This window comes from Homo sapiens, chromosome 7 (genome assembly GCF_000001405.40).
Source record: "Homo sapiens chromosome 7, GRCh38.p14 Primary Assembly".
Taxonomy (NCBI): Eukaryota; Metazoa; Chordata; class Mammalia; order Primates; family Hominidae; genus Homo; species Homo sapiens.
Window position 1 is genome coordinate 31,024,279 of NC_000007.14, and position 13,115 is coordinate 31,037,393.

General features: G+C 51.8%; 1 long non-coding RNA gene across 3 annotated transcripts in view, besides 3 other annotated features; it reads left to right on the top strand.

The window, feature by feature from the left end:
• LOC105375222 (uncharacterized) overlaps window positions 1–5,568 on the top strand; it is a 46,023-nt gene extending 40,455 nt beyond the window's left edge. The window contains exons 3-4 of one of the 3 annotated variants that reach the window (XR_001745156.2): window positions 1,740–1,837; window positions 2,503–5,568. This is a non-coding gene — a long non-coding RNA (uncharacterized LOC105375222). The other 2 variants (XR_927160.2, XR_001745155.2) reach the window with 2 other exon arrangements.
• Window positions 2,540–3,143: an enhancer, noted in NCBI's record as "H3K4me1 hESC enhancer chr7:31066433-31067036 (GRCh37/hg19 assembly coordinates)". NCBI's record gives its function as "activates a minimal SCP1, AML or CMV promoter by ChIP-STARR-seq in primed H9 embryonic stem cells {active_cell/tissue: H9 hESC(primed)}" and the evidence as "EXISTENCE:reporter gene assay evidence [ECO:0000049][PMID:30033119]".
• Window positions 3,144–3,747: an enhancer, noted in NCBI's record as "H3K4me1 hESC enhancer chr7:31067037-31067640 (GRCh37/hg19 assembly coordinates)". NCBI's record gives its function as "activates a minimal SCP1, AML or CMV promoter by ChIP-STARR-seq in naive and primed H9 embryonic stem cells {active_cell/tissue: H9 hESC(naive and primed)}" and the evidence as "EXISTENCE:reporter gene assay evidence [ECO:0000049][PMID:30033119]".
• Window positions 3,257–3,306: an enhancer, noted in NCBI's record as "active region_25822". NCBI's record gives its function as "activates an Ori minimal core promoter by ATAC-STARR-seq in GM12878 lymphoblastoid cells {active_cell/tissue: GM12878}" and the evidence as "EXISTENCE:reporter gene assay evidence [ECO:0000049][PMID:35858748]".
• Window positions 5,569–13,115: the final 7,547 nt, after the last annotated feature.

The window sequence follows — 13,115 nt, forward strand, 5'->3', positions numbered from 1 at the left end:
GGCCATCAAGTTGCCTTCTTTCTCTCTTCCTTCATATTTTCCTAACAAGAACTACCTGAGACTGGGTAATTTATGAAGAAAAGAGGTTTAGTTGACTCACAGTTCTGCGGGCTTAACAGGAAGCATGGCTGGGAGGCCTCAGGAAACTTACAATCATGGCAAAAGGCAGAGGGGAAGCAAGCACCTTCTTCACATGGTGGTAGGAGAGAGCGAGCAAAGGGGGAAATGCCACACACTTTTAAACCATCAGATCTTTTGAGAACTCACTCACTATCATGAGAACAGCAAGGGGGAAATCCACCCCCATGATCCAATCACCTCCCACCAGGCCCCTCCTCCAATTCAACATGAGATTTGGGCAGTGACACAAATTCAAACCATATGAGCTCCCTAGACCAATGCCCAAGTCTTGGGTCTTGGGGACAGAGAGTGAGCTCCTACCTGGAGAGGAAAGGGATTCTGGCTTCCACTTTAACAACCTCCACCACGTGTGAACCCCTGAACTGTAGCCGCCTCCCCAAGGGATGCCCATATCTTACCCCTGCGCTCAAACGTCCTTCCAAGATCAGGAATGCCAGGCTATGCCCAGAACCGAGGCTTGCTGGGGGTAGGCAAGCTGGCAACAAGAAAGGCAGAGGGCCTTAAACGTGGAAAGGCCTTTAAAGAAAGTCTTGTCCAGTGTGGTTTCTCAAACATTTTTAGCAGCTCAAAGGACTGGGCATCTTAGAAGCTCAAATGATTAAAACAGATGAAAGTAGTCAATCTGATCGCAGTGTGGGTGGAAGGCCTGGGCTCACTTACTGACCCTGCTATTCCTGCCTACCCATATCAGCCACTGAGTGTCCTTGATGAACTCCTAGGGCTCCAGGTAGCAGAGTTTGAAAAACTGTCTCTTGACTTCAGTCCCTCTGCATTCTATATTTGGCCTGCCTGTTTTATGGATAGGCACACTGAGACTTAAGAAAGAAGGAGTGACTTACACAAGGACGTTTGTGGCACAGCCAGGGACAAAAACCCAAGTTCTTGCATCCCAGCCTGATTCCTCCCAGCTGCCTGCTAGAACTCCATCTTCCTGCCTACTGATTGCATCCCAACAGCTCTGTTTTAAAGAATAATTTTATTGTCCTAATTATGCATTTCAATATTCGAAACCACCTTACATTTGCTCTGGAAGCAGGAAGAGTAAACATCATAAATGCACATATAAAATCATTATGCTCCCTTTTCGTTTGACTCTGGTATCTGCTCCCTTGTGGGAGGAAATGAAGGAGGCTGAATTTGGCCCCTGCCCTTGACAAGCTCATGGTCAGGATGAGAGTTTGGAAAGAGAGGGTGGTGGACTCTGGGGCTACCCTCAGGAGCTGCAGGCAGGGTGGAAAGGGGAGCTCGCACCCTGCCTCAATTGGGTGGGGGCATTCTGTGTAGCTGCAGGGTAAAGGCAGATGACCCACATTTTCTGTGTCACACAGCCTGAATGCTATTAAGAAGATGGACTGCCACGTAATAGCTATGAGCTTCAGCAAGTTTGCTAACCTCTCTGTGCCTCAGTTTCCTCATCTGCAATTTATCATGTGTCAATTTATGCAAAACACTTAGCCCTGTATCCAGCATATGGTAAATGCTCACAACGGTTAGCTGATAATAATGAGTGTCCGCCCTGGAGGGGAGCTGTGGTGTGTGGGCTCTCCCAGTAGCAGCCCTCTTTGTCTGAAGCTTGGTCACTGGAACTCTGGTTGAAGGTTGAATGAGGTGGCCTATTGCAGAGGAAAGAGCCCTGTCTCAGAAACAAGAGAGTTGGAACACCGAGCCTCACTCTGCCACCAAGGACCTTGGGCAGGTCTGTATCTTCTCGGAGCCTCAGTTTTTGCATCTGTAAGGTGGGTAACATTACAGCAAATATACAGCATTGTTGCTGTGAGTGTTAGATTAGATAAATGTGTAAAACACTTATCATTTTACATGGCAGGATGAAGGCATGTTGGAGTTAGGGAATGTTAGTTTCCCTCCCTAAGAGGACGGGCAGGAGGGCCCTGGATAAAGTGTCATGACAAGGATCCTCCTTATAAATTAGGGAGAAGATGGAGGTGGCAGCCATAGCAGCTAACAGAGGTGGAAGCCATGAGAGAGGCCAGGCTGGGAGAGAGGAAACTTTCACTTTCACTCACTTAGCATGTTTCCAGGATATTGACCATGTCTGGCCCTAGGCTGGATCCAGGGGCTGACAGGTGAGACCACAGCAGCCCAGGCTGACATCTCCTCAAATGAACACCATGCCAGCTGGAGGTGCAAAGGCTCACTGGAGGCAGGAGGACCCCTTCAGCTAGGGAGGGTTGGGGTTTTGTTTTTGAACTGGGGTTTTAGGGGCAACTAAGATAGAAGAAATGTAGGCATGCCAGGTAGCTTGAAGGGTATCCCAGGTGGTGGGAACCCATGGGGAAGCACGGAGACAGGAAATCGTGAGCGGTGTGAAGGTCTAAGTCACGATTATCTTTTTCCCCAAAGGGAGACAAGCTGGATCTGTAGCTGCGCTGCATCCCGACGGCCTGCCCAGGTTTCCCGATTCCACGGGAACATTCTTCCTGGAGGAGTCCACAAGTCTTCTAGCCTAGAGCCATCTCCAAAATCCCTACAAAGCAACAAACGGTGTGACCCAGAGTCTCATTCTGAAATAGACTGAAGCTCTAGGGCCGCACAGAGGACCATTGACTGAAATCTCACAGTGGGCCCTGGGAGGGTCAGGGGACCCTGCAGAGAGCCTGGGCAGGGTCAGCCCAGGCCCAGAAGGCTTCTCAGAGGAGGTGATGCTGGCGGAGGCCTGCCTGTGTCCGTATCAGGAGAAAGCAATGTCAAGAACAGCAAGGTCGCTCACTCACTTCCTATTGTAGATCAGAGCTGGGAGTTTTCCTCAGATTACTTCTCACTAAGAAGACAGCCCTCTTCTCAGGCGCCGCTGCTGACATGTTTTGTTTTCCCCAGATGGGGATAATCAGCCTGTTTGGGAGTCGGGCTGACAGCTCAGGCAGCAGGCGGGGGCTGGGGGCGGGAGGCTGCAGGCAGCTCCGAGCTCTCAGGGAGCAGACTCTGCCCTGCCTGCGTGACAAGCTCCAGCAGGTGGGGGGGATTTCCGTTTGCGCCAAAGAGGAGCGGGCTGTAGAGTGATTTAGCTTAGTTATGTGAACCTTGAGAGGCTGCCCGACTCCTCTCCCCGTTTAATTTATGCTTGAGTGCCAGAGCTGAAGACCTTCAAGCCGTCCCCTGCTATACCGGAAGGGACCCATCAGGATCCTGGCTTGGAGCTTTGCTGGGTATTTCCAGACGTTCCACAGAAGGTGGGGACAGGGCTGGCTGTGCTCTCTCCCTCCCCTTCTCTGGGAAGACTTCCACATCTTCCCCATCCCTTCCTGATGGCCCCACCCCACCGTCTCCCAGCCCTAAGAGTCTCAGCCTCACCTTCCCACCCTTGCGCAGGCCCAGGTCTGGGCTCTTCACTGACTCATGTTTTGGAAGAAGGGGTAGAGTCACCCACCAGCCTCGGGGCTGTCTGAGGCAGGTCACAGTTGTTCTGAGGGCCGGACCCCAGGGCCTTGGGCTGCTCAGCATTTCTAGGCACTGGGCTGGAAGGTTTGCATCCCAGACATAGCAGGGCTGAGGAACGGCTATGTTAGAATCACCTTGAGTGGAATAACCATGCCCACCTGAGGATCATGGGTCCCCTCCTGTGGGTGGGTCTCTGGAGGTCTGAGGAGGCCTGACACCTTCAGGCAGGCTGCAGTGGGCCCTTTTCTGTTCTTTCTCCCCCAGTCCCGCTTCAAGGAGGGACGACCAGGCCAGAGACAGCCTTCCTGAGAGACTTGCACCCTGCCCTCACCCAATACACAACTGATTTCCTTCTGTGTGGAATGAAGCCCGTGGACTTCCCATCTCCAAGGCCCAGCCAGCTCTCGGTTCTCTGGTTATGGGTCCCGCCTCCCAGTCTCAGCACTTCTTTTCTGACTCCCCACTGGGCCTAACACAGAGCCTAGCCTCTGCCTGTCAGTGCTTGCCCACTTACATCCTATGCACCCAGAGCTGGGAGCCTTCCTCAGACTCTGGGCCTACACAAGGCAGCTGCTCCCAAGGACAAGGGTTAATAGAGGTCTTTGATAGAGTCTGAGGTCTTTCCAGAGGGAAATTTAGCTCCCAGAGGGGCCTGGGTGGGGGCCTGAGAGACCTGGCCACAGACACCTATGAGCCCCTCTGACCATGTTCTTGGCTGCAGCCTCATGAGGCCATCAGGGCTCGGCGCGGGAGGCAGGGCCCGGGCTCTGTCCCCAGCTCCTGGCCACACACCTTCAGTGGCCATGAATCTGCCCTTCACCCCCTGCACCTCAGTTTCCTCGTCTGCCCCGCAGCATCCATGGGACTGCAGTAGTGTGTATATGCGGCTGTGGCCCCTGGGAGAGGCACCTCTGGGACCACTGGCCATCTGGCCCTCGGTAGCCGTGTGGCGCAGATTTCCTCCTCCGTGGTCTCCCGGGCAACGCGGAGCTGCCTGCCAAGCCTGCTGCCGGGCCTGGCTCCTGCACAGATCTTTAGTGCCACACAGAGATGGCTGATGGCAGGAGCCAGGGTGAGGCCCAGCCTCCCCAGCTGTCACAGGGAGCAAATCAGACAAAGGCTGAGTTGGGAGGGGTGGGGCGCCGGAGCCAGGGGGGCCTGGGAAAGTAGCTCGGAGGCCCCAGCTGCCCCCTCCCACCTCATCCTCCCAATACTGCCCTCTCAGTGACCCCTGCTTCCCAGAACACTCAGCCGTGGACCTCAGTTTCCCCATCTATCAAATGGGAGGGGCCAGGTCTCTGACCCTCCAGACTAATGGCCTAAGACAAGAACCCAGCCTGGATGACAGAGGCCTGAGGAATGGACATGCTTTGATGGCTAATGGCCTTCAGACAGATGCCCACACTGCCACTGCAGGACTTTGGAGGGTGCATGTTTCAAGGGCATTTATTAGCTAATGTCTCCAGGGCCATTTGCTCCAAACCACCCGCTGCTTCTCACTCCATGCCACTGGTGAGGACTCTTCTCCCAGGATGGCTTTGCCCTTGTAGTTTTTTCTGCCGCTCCCAGGACTTGCAGGCTCTGGAGGCTGGGCAGTTCTGTTTTAGATCACAGCCACTCCTGCATTGAGGCCACCATTCCACCCCTGCCCCGAGTGAGACAGAAGCTGGAGCTGACCTTGGGACATGGGGTTGAAGGCAGGGTGTGCAGAGAGTAGAGAGTCCTGCAGACTGCTGCTTCTGTATGTGAGTAGCTGGGCAGGGAGGGCAGCACCCACAGACCAAGGATAAGGGAAGGAGGTGCTGTCCTACCTACAGCAGACCCCCAGGTCCAGAGCAGAGACCCAGGCATTCCCCCATCCAGGTTGGGTCCCACAAATGACCAAGAGGCTTTCAGCACTAGCAGGCACAACTGCTGCAGTGGGGAGCTCCCTTGGGAGGGGGCAGCTGGCACCATCAGGCAGCCAGATAGGCAAGGATGTTGTCGGGGGCCCCTTTTGTGAATTAGAATAAAAGACGCCCTCTCTTGGCAGTCATGGCCCTGCAGTGCATGGATTTCAGTCCCTCACACCTCCCTAGGGTGCCATCGAATGGAGCAGAACCTGAATTGCTGTATATAGCAGTCTGCCAAGCAGAATTGGAGAGGCAGCGAATCTTTGACCAAATACTGGAAAATCAAGGGAGGTTCCTGGCATGGTTGCCTGGGGAAGGCTTTGCTGACCTTGAGCCTGAGCCCCAGAGGCCAGTACAGAAAGGGCATGGGTTCAACTCAACAAATATGAATTGAGAACACCTATCCAGTGCCTGGCACTCTTTCGGATGCTGGGAAGAGAGTGATATCAAGATAGTTAAGGTCCCTGTGGTCTTGGAGCTTGTGTCTTAGAGGAAAGAGTCAGACAATAGTAACCTAGAAAAATTATCAGACAGCAAAGACTTCAAACACAGGATGGATGGTGGGTGAAAGGTGATGTTAGATTTGGGGGTGGGGGGTAGGTATCTGGCAAGACCCACTGAGCTTTAAGCTGAGAACAGAGTGATATGAAGGAATCAGCAAAGTAAGCATCAAGGGGAGGAGTGGGGCAAGTCAAGGGACCAGGTGGGAGAAGATTGCACTGAAGGCATGAACGTGGCCTTGTCCGGGAACTGAACAAGGAGGCTGGTAGGACTGGGGGATGCAGAGGAGAGAAGAGGGGATGCACTCTGGAGGCAGGGGCCAGATCTTGGGACTCAGTCACCCACTGTGAGGGGTCTGGACTTTTTCCTCAGTGCAATGAGAAGCCATTTGAGGAACTGACCCAGAAGCGACTCTAGAACAATGATTCTCAATCGGGTGTTATCCTCGCAACTCCCAGGGATTTTTAGCAATGTCAACAGAGGGTGAGGGTAGGAGTGGTACTGGCAGCTGGTGGGTAGAGGCCAGGGACACTGCTAAACATTCTGCGACGCACAGGGCAGACAGCTCTCCACTCCCAACAAAGAATTATCTGAACCCAAATGTCAGTAATACCGAGGTTGAGAAACTCTGCTCTAGATGTTGGTGTCCCCCGGGTCCTTGCTCTTTTAGAATAACCCAGGGTCACTGTACTCCAGCCTGTGGCTCTTTCTATATATACTCTGGGTTCAAATTTTATCTTCACCGCTTGTCCAAAATGTCAACGGTGGCCGGGCGCGGTGGCTCACGCCTGTAATCCCAGCACTTTGGGAGGCCGAGGCGGGTGGATCACGAGGTCAGGAGATCGAGACCATCCTGGCTAACAAGGTGAAACCCCGTCTCTACTAAAAATACAAAAAATTAGCCGGGCGCGGTGGCGGGCGCCTGTAGTCCCAGCTACTCGGGAGGCTGAGGCAGGAGAATGGCGTGAACCCAGGAAGCGGAGCTTGCAGTGAGCCGAGATTGCGCCATTGCAGTCCGCAGTCCGGCCTGGGCAACAGAGCGAGACTCCGTCTCAAAAAAAAAAAAAAAAAAAAAAAAAAAAAAATGTCAACGGTGCAGAGGTTGAGAAACTACTGTACAGGAAGAAGGGAAGCAGCACAACTACTTAGACCTGTGCTGAATGCAGTAGCCACTGGCCACATGTGGCTTTTGAATACCTGAAGTGGTCGGGCGTGGTGGCTCATGTCTGTAATCCCAGCACTTTGGGAGGCCGAGGTGGGTGGATTATTTGAGGTCAGGAGTTTGAGACCAGCCTGACCAACATGACGAAACCCCATCTCCACTAAAAATAAAAATTAGCCGGGCATGGTAGTGTGTGCCTATAATCCCAGCTACTTGGGAGGCTGAGGCAGGAGAACTGCTTGAACCCGGGAGGTGGAGGTTGCAGTGATGGTGCCACTGTACCCCAGGCTGGGTGACAGAGCAAGACTTCATCTCAAAAAACAAAACAAAAACCTGAAATGTGGCTAGTCCAACTGAAGTGCTGTGAGTATAAAATATCAGATTTCAGACTCAGCACAATACAAAGAATAAAATATCTCACTTGTGTTTTTATATGGATTACATTTTTAAATGATAAAATTTTGTATATATTGGGTTAAATAAAATATATCATTAAAATTAATTCCACTTGTTTTTTTTAATAATGTGGAACTTTTAAAACTCCATATATAGCTCCCATTTATGGATCGCAAATTATGTTTCTGTTGCCCAGCATTGAGTTGACTAGTGATAATACTCATCGTACCAGTTCCTATGTCCCAGCACTGTTCTGTTTTATGCACGTCACTTAGTTTTCACAACAATCTCATAAGGGAGATATTGTTACTATTTTTCGGCTTATATATGAGGGGGCTATGGCCCTGAGAGGTTAAGTAACCTGCCCAAGGCCACACAGGGAGTAAGCATAGAGTTGGTTCCAGGGTCTGGATGTCCTGAGGATGGTGGCTTGGCTATGATGAAAATGGTGGCGACAGAGTGATAGAGTTTGGATGTTCGTTCCCTCCAAATCTCATGTTGAAATGTGATCCTCAATGTTAGAGGTGGGGCCTGGTGGGAGGTGTTTGTGTCATGGGGGCAGATCCCACATGAATGGCTCCATGGCCTCCCCATGGTAATGAGTGAGTTCTGGCTCTGTTAGTTCACTTGGAGGCTGGTTATTTCAAGGTACCTGGCATTTCCTCCTCTCTCTCTTGCTCCCTCCCTCGCCATGTGACACGCTTGCTCCTCCTTCCCCTTCCGCCATGACAGGAAGCTTCCTGAGGCCTCACCAGAAGCAGGTGCTGATGCCATGCTTCTTTTACAACCTGCAGAACTGAGAGCCAAATAAACCTCTTTTCTTTAGAAATTACCCAGCCTCAGGTACTCCTTTATAGCAATACAAAATGGACTAACACATGGAGAGAGGGGAGATGGTTCAGGGTCCGCAGGGGCTCCTCAGGACTCACAGATGGAGTGGGCGTGGTGATGTGTAAGGGAAGGGAAGAAGGCAAGAACACTCAGTAGGGCTTTGCTGTGAACAGCGAGGTGGGGGGTGATGTCTTTGGCTGAGATGGGGAAGCTGGGGGTGGTATAGCCTTGGAAGAAGAGCTGCAGAGTTCTGTGTCGGTCCTGCTAAGTTTGAGATGACTATAGACATATAAGAAAGCAGCTGGATTTGCAGAGAGACACCAGGGGTGGAGAGAGACATTTGGGGGTCAGCCTTAGTACATTGACAGAATTTAAAGCCATGAGGAATGTGATCACCTAGAGAAATTGTAGATGTTGGAGAGAAGGTTGCTAAGACAGAGCCTGAAGCACACCAGCAGTTAGAGGATGAGCCATGGAGAAGGATCAATGCAGGAGGCTGGGAGAGAGACTCCAGTGAGGCAAAAGGAAGACCAGGCATGAGAAGAAGTATCTCAAGTGGGAGGGTGTGGTCAGTTTCCAGGCTCACTCACATTTTGCCTGTGAGCCTCTGGCTGGTTGGAGCAAGATAGCAGCAGGGCTCATTGACCCAAGGTAGGGCATCTGGGGAGCTGGGCTCATTTCTGGGCCCAAGGCCTGCAGGTTGGCCAGCTTCATGCTGAGCCCCTGCAGCTAGGCATTTCAGCTAGGCTCCTCCTGAAAAGACACGGAGGAGCAGGAGAGTGTCAAGTGGCCCAGCTGAGGCAAGAGGAAGGCCCTGAGGTGTGGGCAGGGTGGCCCAGGTGGCTCATTTGAAGCAGCTAACCCTACCTGCTTCAAAGTGACTTCTGTACTTAAGATAAACTTAGCTCCTACATATCCTTCTTTTGGGTGAAGACAAAAGACACAGGGAAGGTCTAGGGAGAATCAGGCCCACAATGGGTGGATGGGGGACTCCCTCCCCTGATCTCTCTTAAACATGTCAACCCTATCTCCCCTAGACTACGCCTTCTTTCTTAGGCCATAAGAGAAGTTTCTCCACCTTGTAAAAGCCCCACACATTCAGCTCTGGGCTCTGACAGAGTTTGGGGTTCAGGACATGAGGGGAGAGGTGGGTAGAAACTCTGATCTGAGCTTTTTGTGTCATGACCCTGGCACTAGAAGCTTCCAGTTGGCCCCCATCCCTCACTCCAGCTGTCTCTCAGCTGATTCACAAGGTCTCTGTCTCCAGGAATCTGTTCTCTGCAGCACGTGTTTCTGGTCTGGCATCTGCTCACTGCCACCTGGATCCTGGCACCACTCGACCTGGCTTTTGTCCTCAGTCTGCCCACTCTTGGCTACCTTGGGCACCCCCCACCTCCAGCCCCAGCCTGGTTTTGTCTCTCCCACCTCCTCCTTGGATCTGCCATTCCAGCTTACCAGCCTCTGTGCGTTCCCTGTCACTAATTTCCCCATCAGCAGCTTGCCTTCAACCACACTGCCCGCAGAACCAAGTGCTTTGTCGATGAAAAAGCCCTCTGGGGGCAAACACAGGAAATTAAAGACTCTGCACATAGTAAGAAAATCCATTCTCTTTCATGGATTTCTGCAGTCCAATTGCTTCTACTTCTGCTGAGTGGCTGGGATCTTCTGGTCACTCACACCCATGGGGGCTGGCCAGTGGGGGTGATGTTAACAAGGAGGGCTTCTGTCTGAGATTCCATCATCCACAGTTCATGTCTTTGGGGCATGGAGGCTGCCTCCTGCATCACTAGGGTACCTATGGCAGGAGAGCACCTTAGGATCACTGTCAGAGGCAAACACCTAGAGTGGATGTGTTGTTGGCTGAGAGAGAATGTGTCCTGCTGGAGGAGAGGTGCACAAGTCCAACCTAGCTTTGTGTTCTGAGAGGAATGTGCTAAGGGAACAGCCTTCTACAGGGAGAAGAAGGAACCACCCATCATGTGTTCTACTCCCAGCAGGTTAGTACTTTTCACCCTCTTGTCTAAAAAATAAAGGGGCTTGGATCAGATGGTGTTTAAGGTCCCTTCCAGGTATAATTTATTCAGCAAACATGGGTGAAGCTCTATCCATGTGCCAGAACTTTCAGGAGCCTCAACTAATTGTGCCCTGGGCCCCAAATCAAACAGGCAGAAGTTGCCTCTCTCTTACCTCCCAGGGCCAACCCCTGTGGAGAGGCCAGGCTCAGGTCGCAGCCCGGAGAACAAGCTCATTGGCCTCGATGTTTGAAAGCCCTTGAACCACAAAGGGGCCTCAGGGACACTCAGATCAGGCTGGCATCTTCTCTGAGAACTCCAAGACCCCATGAAGGGCACTTCAACACCTTGGCCAGGCTCTGAACACAGAGGTGGAGGCTTGGTCACCAAGAAGGCAGGCCAGGTGCTGGGAGAGGAAGTCAGGCAACTCCCTTAAGGTAGCTGGGCAGAGCACAGGGAAACACAACCTCAGATTGAGATTCTCCCTGCTCCCCTCGACCCCAAAGAAGGAAAGAGCAGGGCCTGGGCAGATGGGAAATGGAAGACTCCTTGAAGTTACTTAGGACCTGCCAGTGTGTCCCAGTGGAGGGACTGGGAGCTGAGGTTGCAGCCAGCCCTGGGAGAATCTTTCAACTCAAGGATCTGGGTGGTGGCCACAGTACAGACACTGGGAGAGCAATTCCTACAGGGCAGGATAGGCAATCCTGGTCCCAGAGGCACAGCAGCAGGGGAAGAAGGAGGGGCTGGAGAACCAGTAGGCATCAGGGTAGGGGCTCAGCAGCCAATTATCCAAGTCTGCCTGGACATGGGATCCAGGAGCCCACCTATTCATCCATACATCTACCCACCTGCCTTAGTCATTTGTGCTGCTATAACAAAATACTTGAGGCTGGGTCATTTCCAAATAATGAAAATTTATTCCTCACAGTTCTGGAGGCTGAAAGTCCAAGAGTAAGGCACTGGAAGATTCGGGGTCTGGTGAAGCCTGGCTCTCTGCTTCTAAGATGATGCCTTGCTGCTGTGTCCTCCTGTGGTGGAAGGCAGAGGGCAAAAAGGACTAGGGCACCCCCTTCAACCTCTTTTATAAGGTAACTAATCCCATTCATGAGGGCTCCACCCTCATGACTTAATCACCTCCTAAAGGTCCCACCTCTTAGTACTATCACATTGGCAATTAAGTTTCAACAAATGAATTCTGGGGGACACGTTCAGACCACAGTACTACCCATCCAATAAATGTTTTCTTCTAGGCTTTCCTTTCCTCCCCATTCCCATAGTGCTCCTGCCCAGTGGGTGCCTCCCACACCCACCCACCACAGGCATGATTCTCTCTAGACTTTCCCTGTGTCAGACAGGTCCTCCTAGCCCTGTGTCTGCTCTTTCACATCTGATCCTAGCAGCCTAGGTGGATAACCAGCTGCTCACACTTGTGGATGGTCAGCCCAGCTCTGTCTCACAAAGTCCTCACCCCTACAAGCCACAAAGCTGCTGGACATCTCACTGTTACAGCACGTTGACAGTCTTCTGGGGCTATACTTGGGCCACACTGAAGGTTTACATGATTAAATTTAAATGAAGAAGAGGAACAAATATATTGTGAACATCTAATCTAGGTCAGATTTTTTGCAAGTTTACTCACAGCCCTCTGAATTTGGTATAATCCTGCTAACAACAAAAGTAACTAATATTTACTATTGACTACTACTATATTCTAGGCATTAGCTGAGTAATCTGTAGATGAAGAAACAGGCTCAGAAAGGATAAGCAATTAGTAACTTTCCCAGTGGCACATAACCAGAGGGTGGCAACGCTGACATTCAAAACTGGGTCTGGATGACCCTTTGGAAAATCCTTCTGGTGGGCCTCCCTGCATCCTCCCTTTCCCACTGGCCCTAGCTCTGTAAATCACGGCCTCCTCCTGACCTAAATGCTATGGGCTTTTTCCCTTCTGGGCTTTCACTCGTGTCTGGCACATTCTTCTGTAAGCTCCCTAAGAGCAGCAGGGACTTTATAGACCCCTTCATCTCTCTGTCTCTCTCTCTTGCTCTTCTGTCCACTCTAATCCAAAGAACAGTAGAGGTAGGTCCAGTGAAAGGTACTTCATAAATTCTTATTGTCTCATTAATGACTTTGATGCTCACGAAAAACCTACCTTCTTGGTAGTGTTGAGCATAGCTATTCCATTTTATAGATGAGCAAGTTGAGGTCCAGGAAAACAAACAAAAAAACTGGCTGGTCAGATAATAAGTAAGTGGTAGATGTCCCTGAGTGCTCATCTGTGTGTTTGCAGTGCAGCCTGACCTGGCACTTGAAGACAGGGCCATCAGCTGCAGTGACAGACATTTGTGGTCTTGCCCTGGGCAGGGGCTCCTTCCCAGGAGGGCGAGTGGAGCTCACTCCCTGTCAGCCTGTGGCCAGGTCAGCTGTGAAGACCAGAGCAGCTTCCTAGTGGCCAGGAGGCAGCCCTGGGAGGGAGGGAGGAGACAGAGCAGTGCTGTCACTCCAAGGCCCTGTCTGAGAGGACTACTGTGCTTCCTATCTGGCTTTCCTTGCCACAGTCCATATGGGGACTGTGCTGGGGATGGCTGGACAGTTGCTACGTGTCACCCGCTCTTTCTCACATCCCAGCAGGGCCCAGGAGATGTGAGAGGCACTGCAATTGATGAGACCTGAAGACTGATTCATTTCTCACTCTATCCTTCCTCCCTGGGCCATCTTATCCACTCCCATGATTTCAATTACCATCCATACCAGTGGTTCTCAGCCCTGGCTGCATGCTAGAAT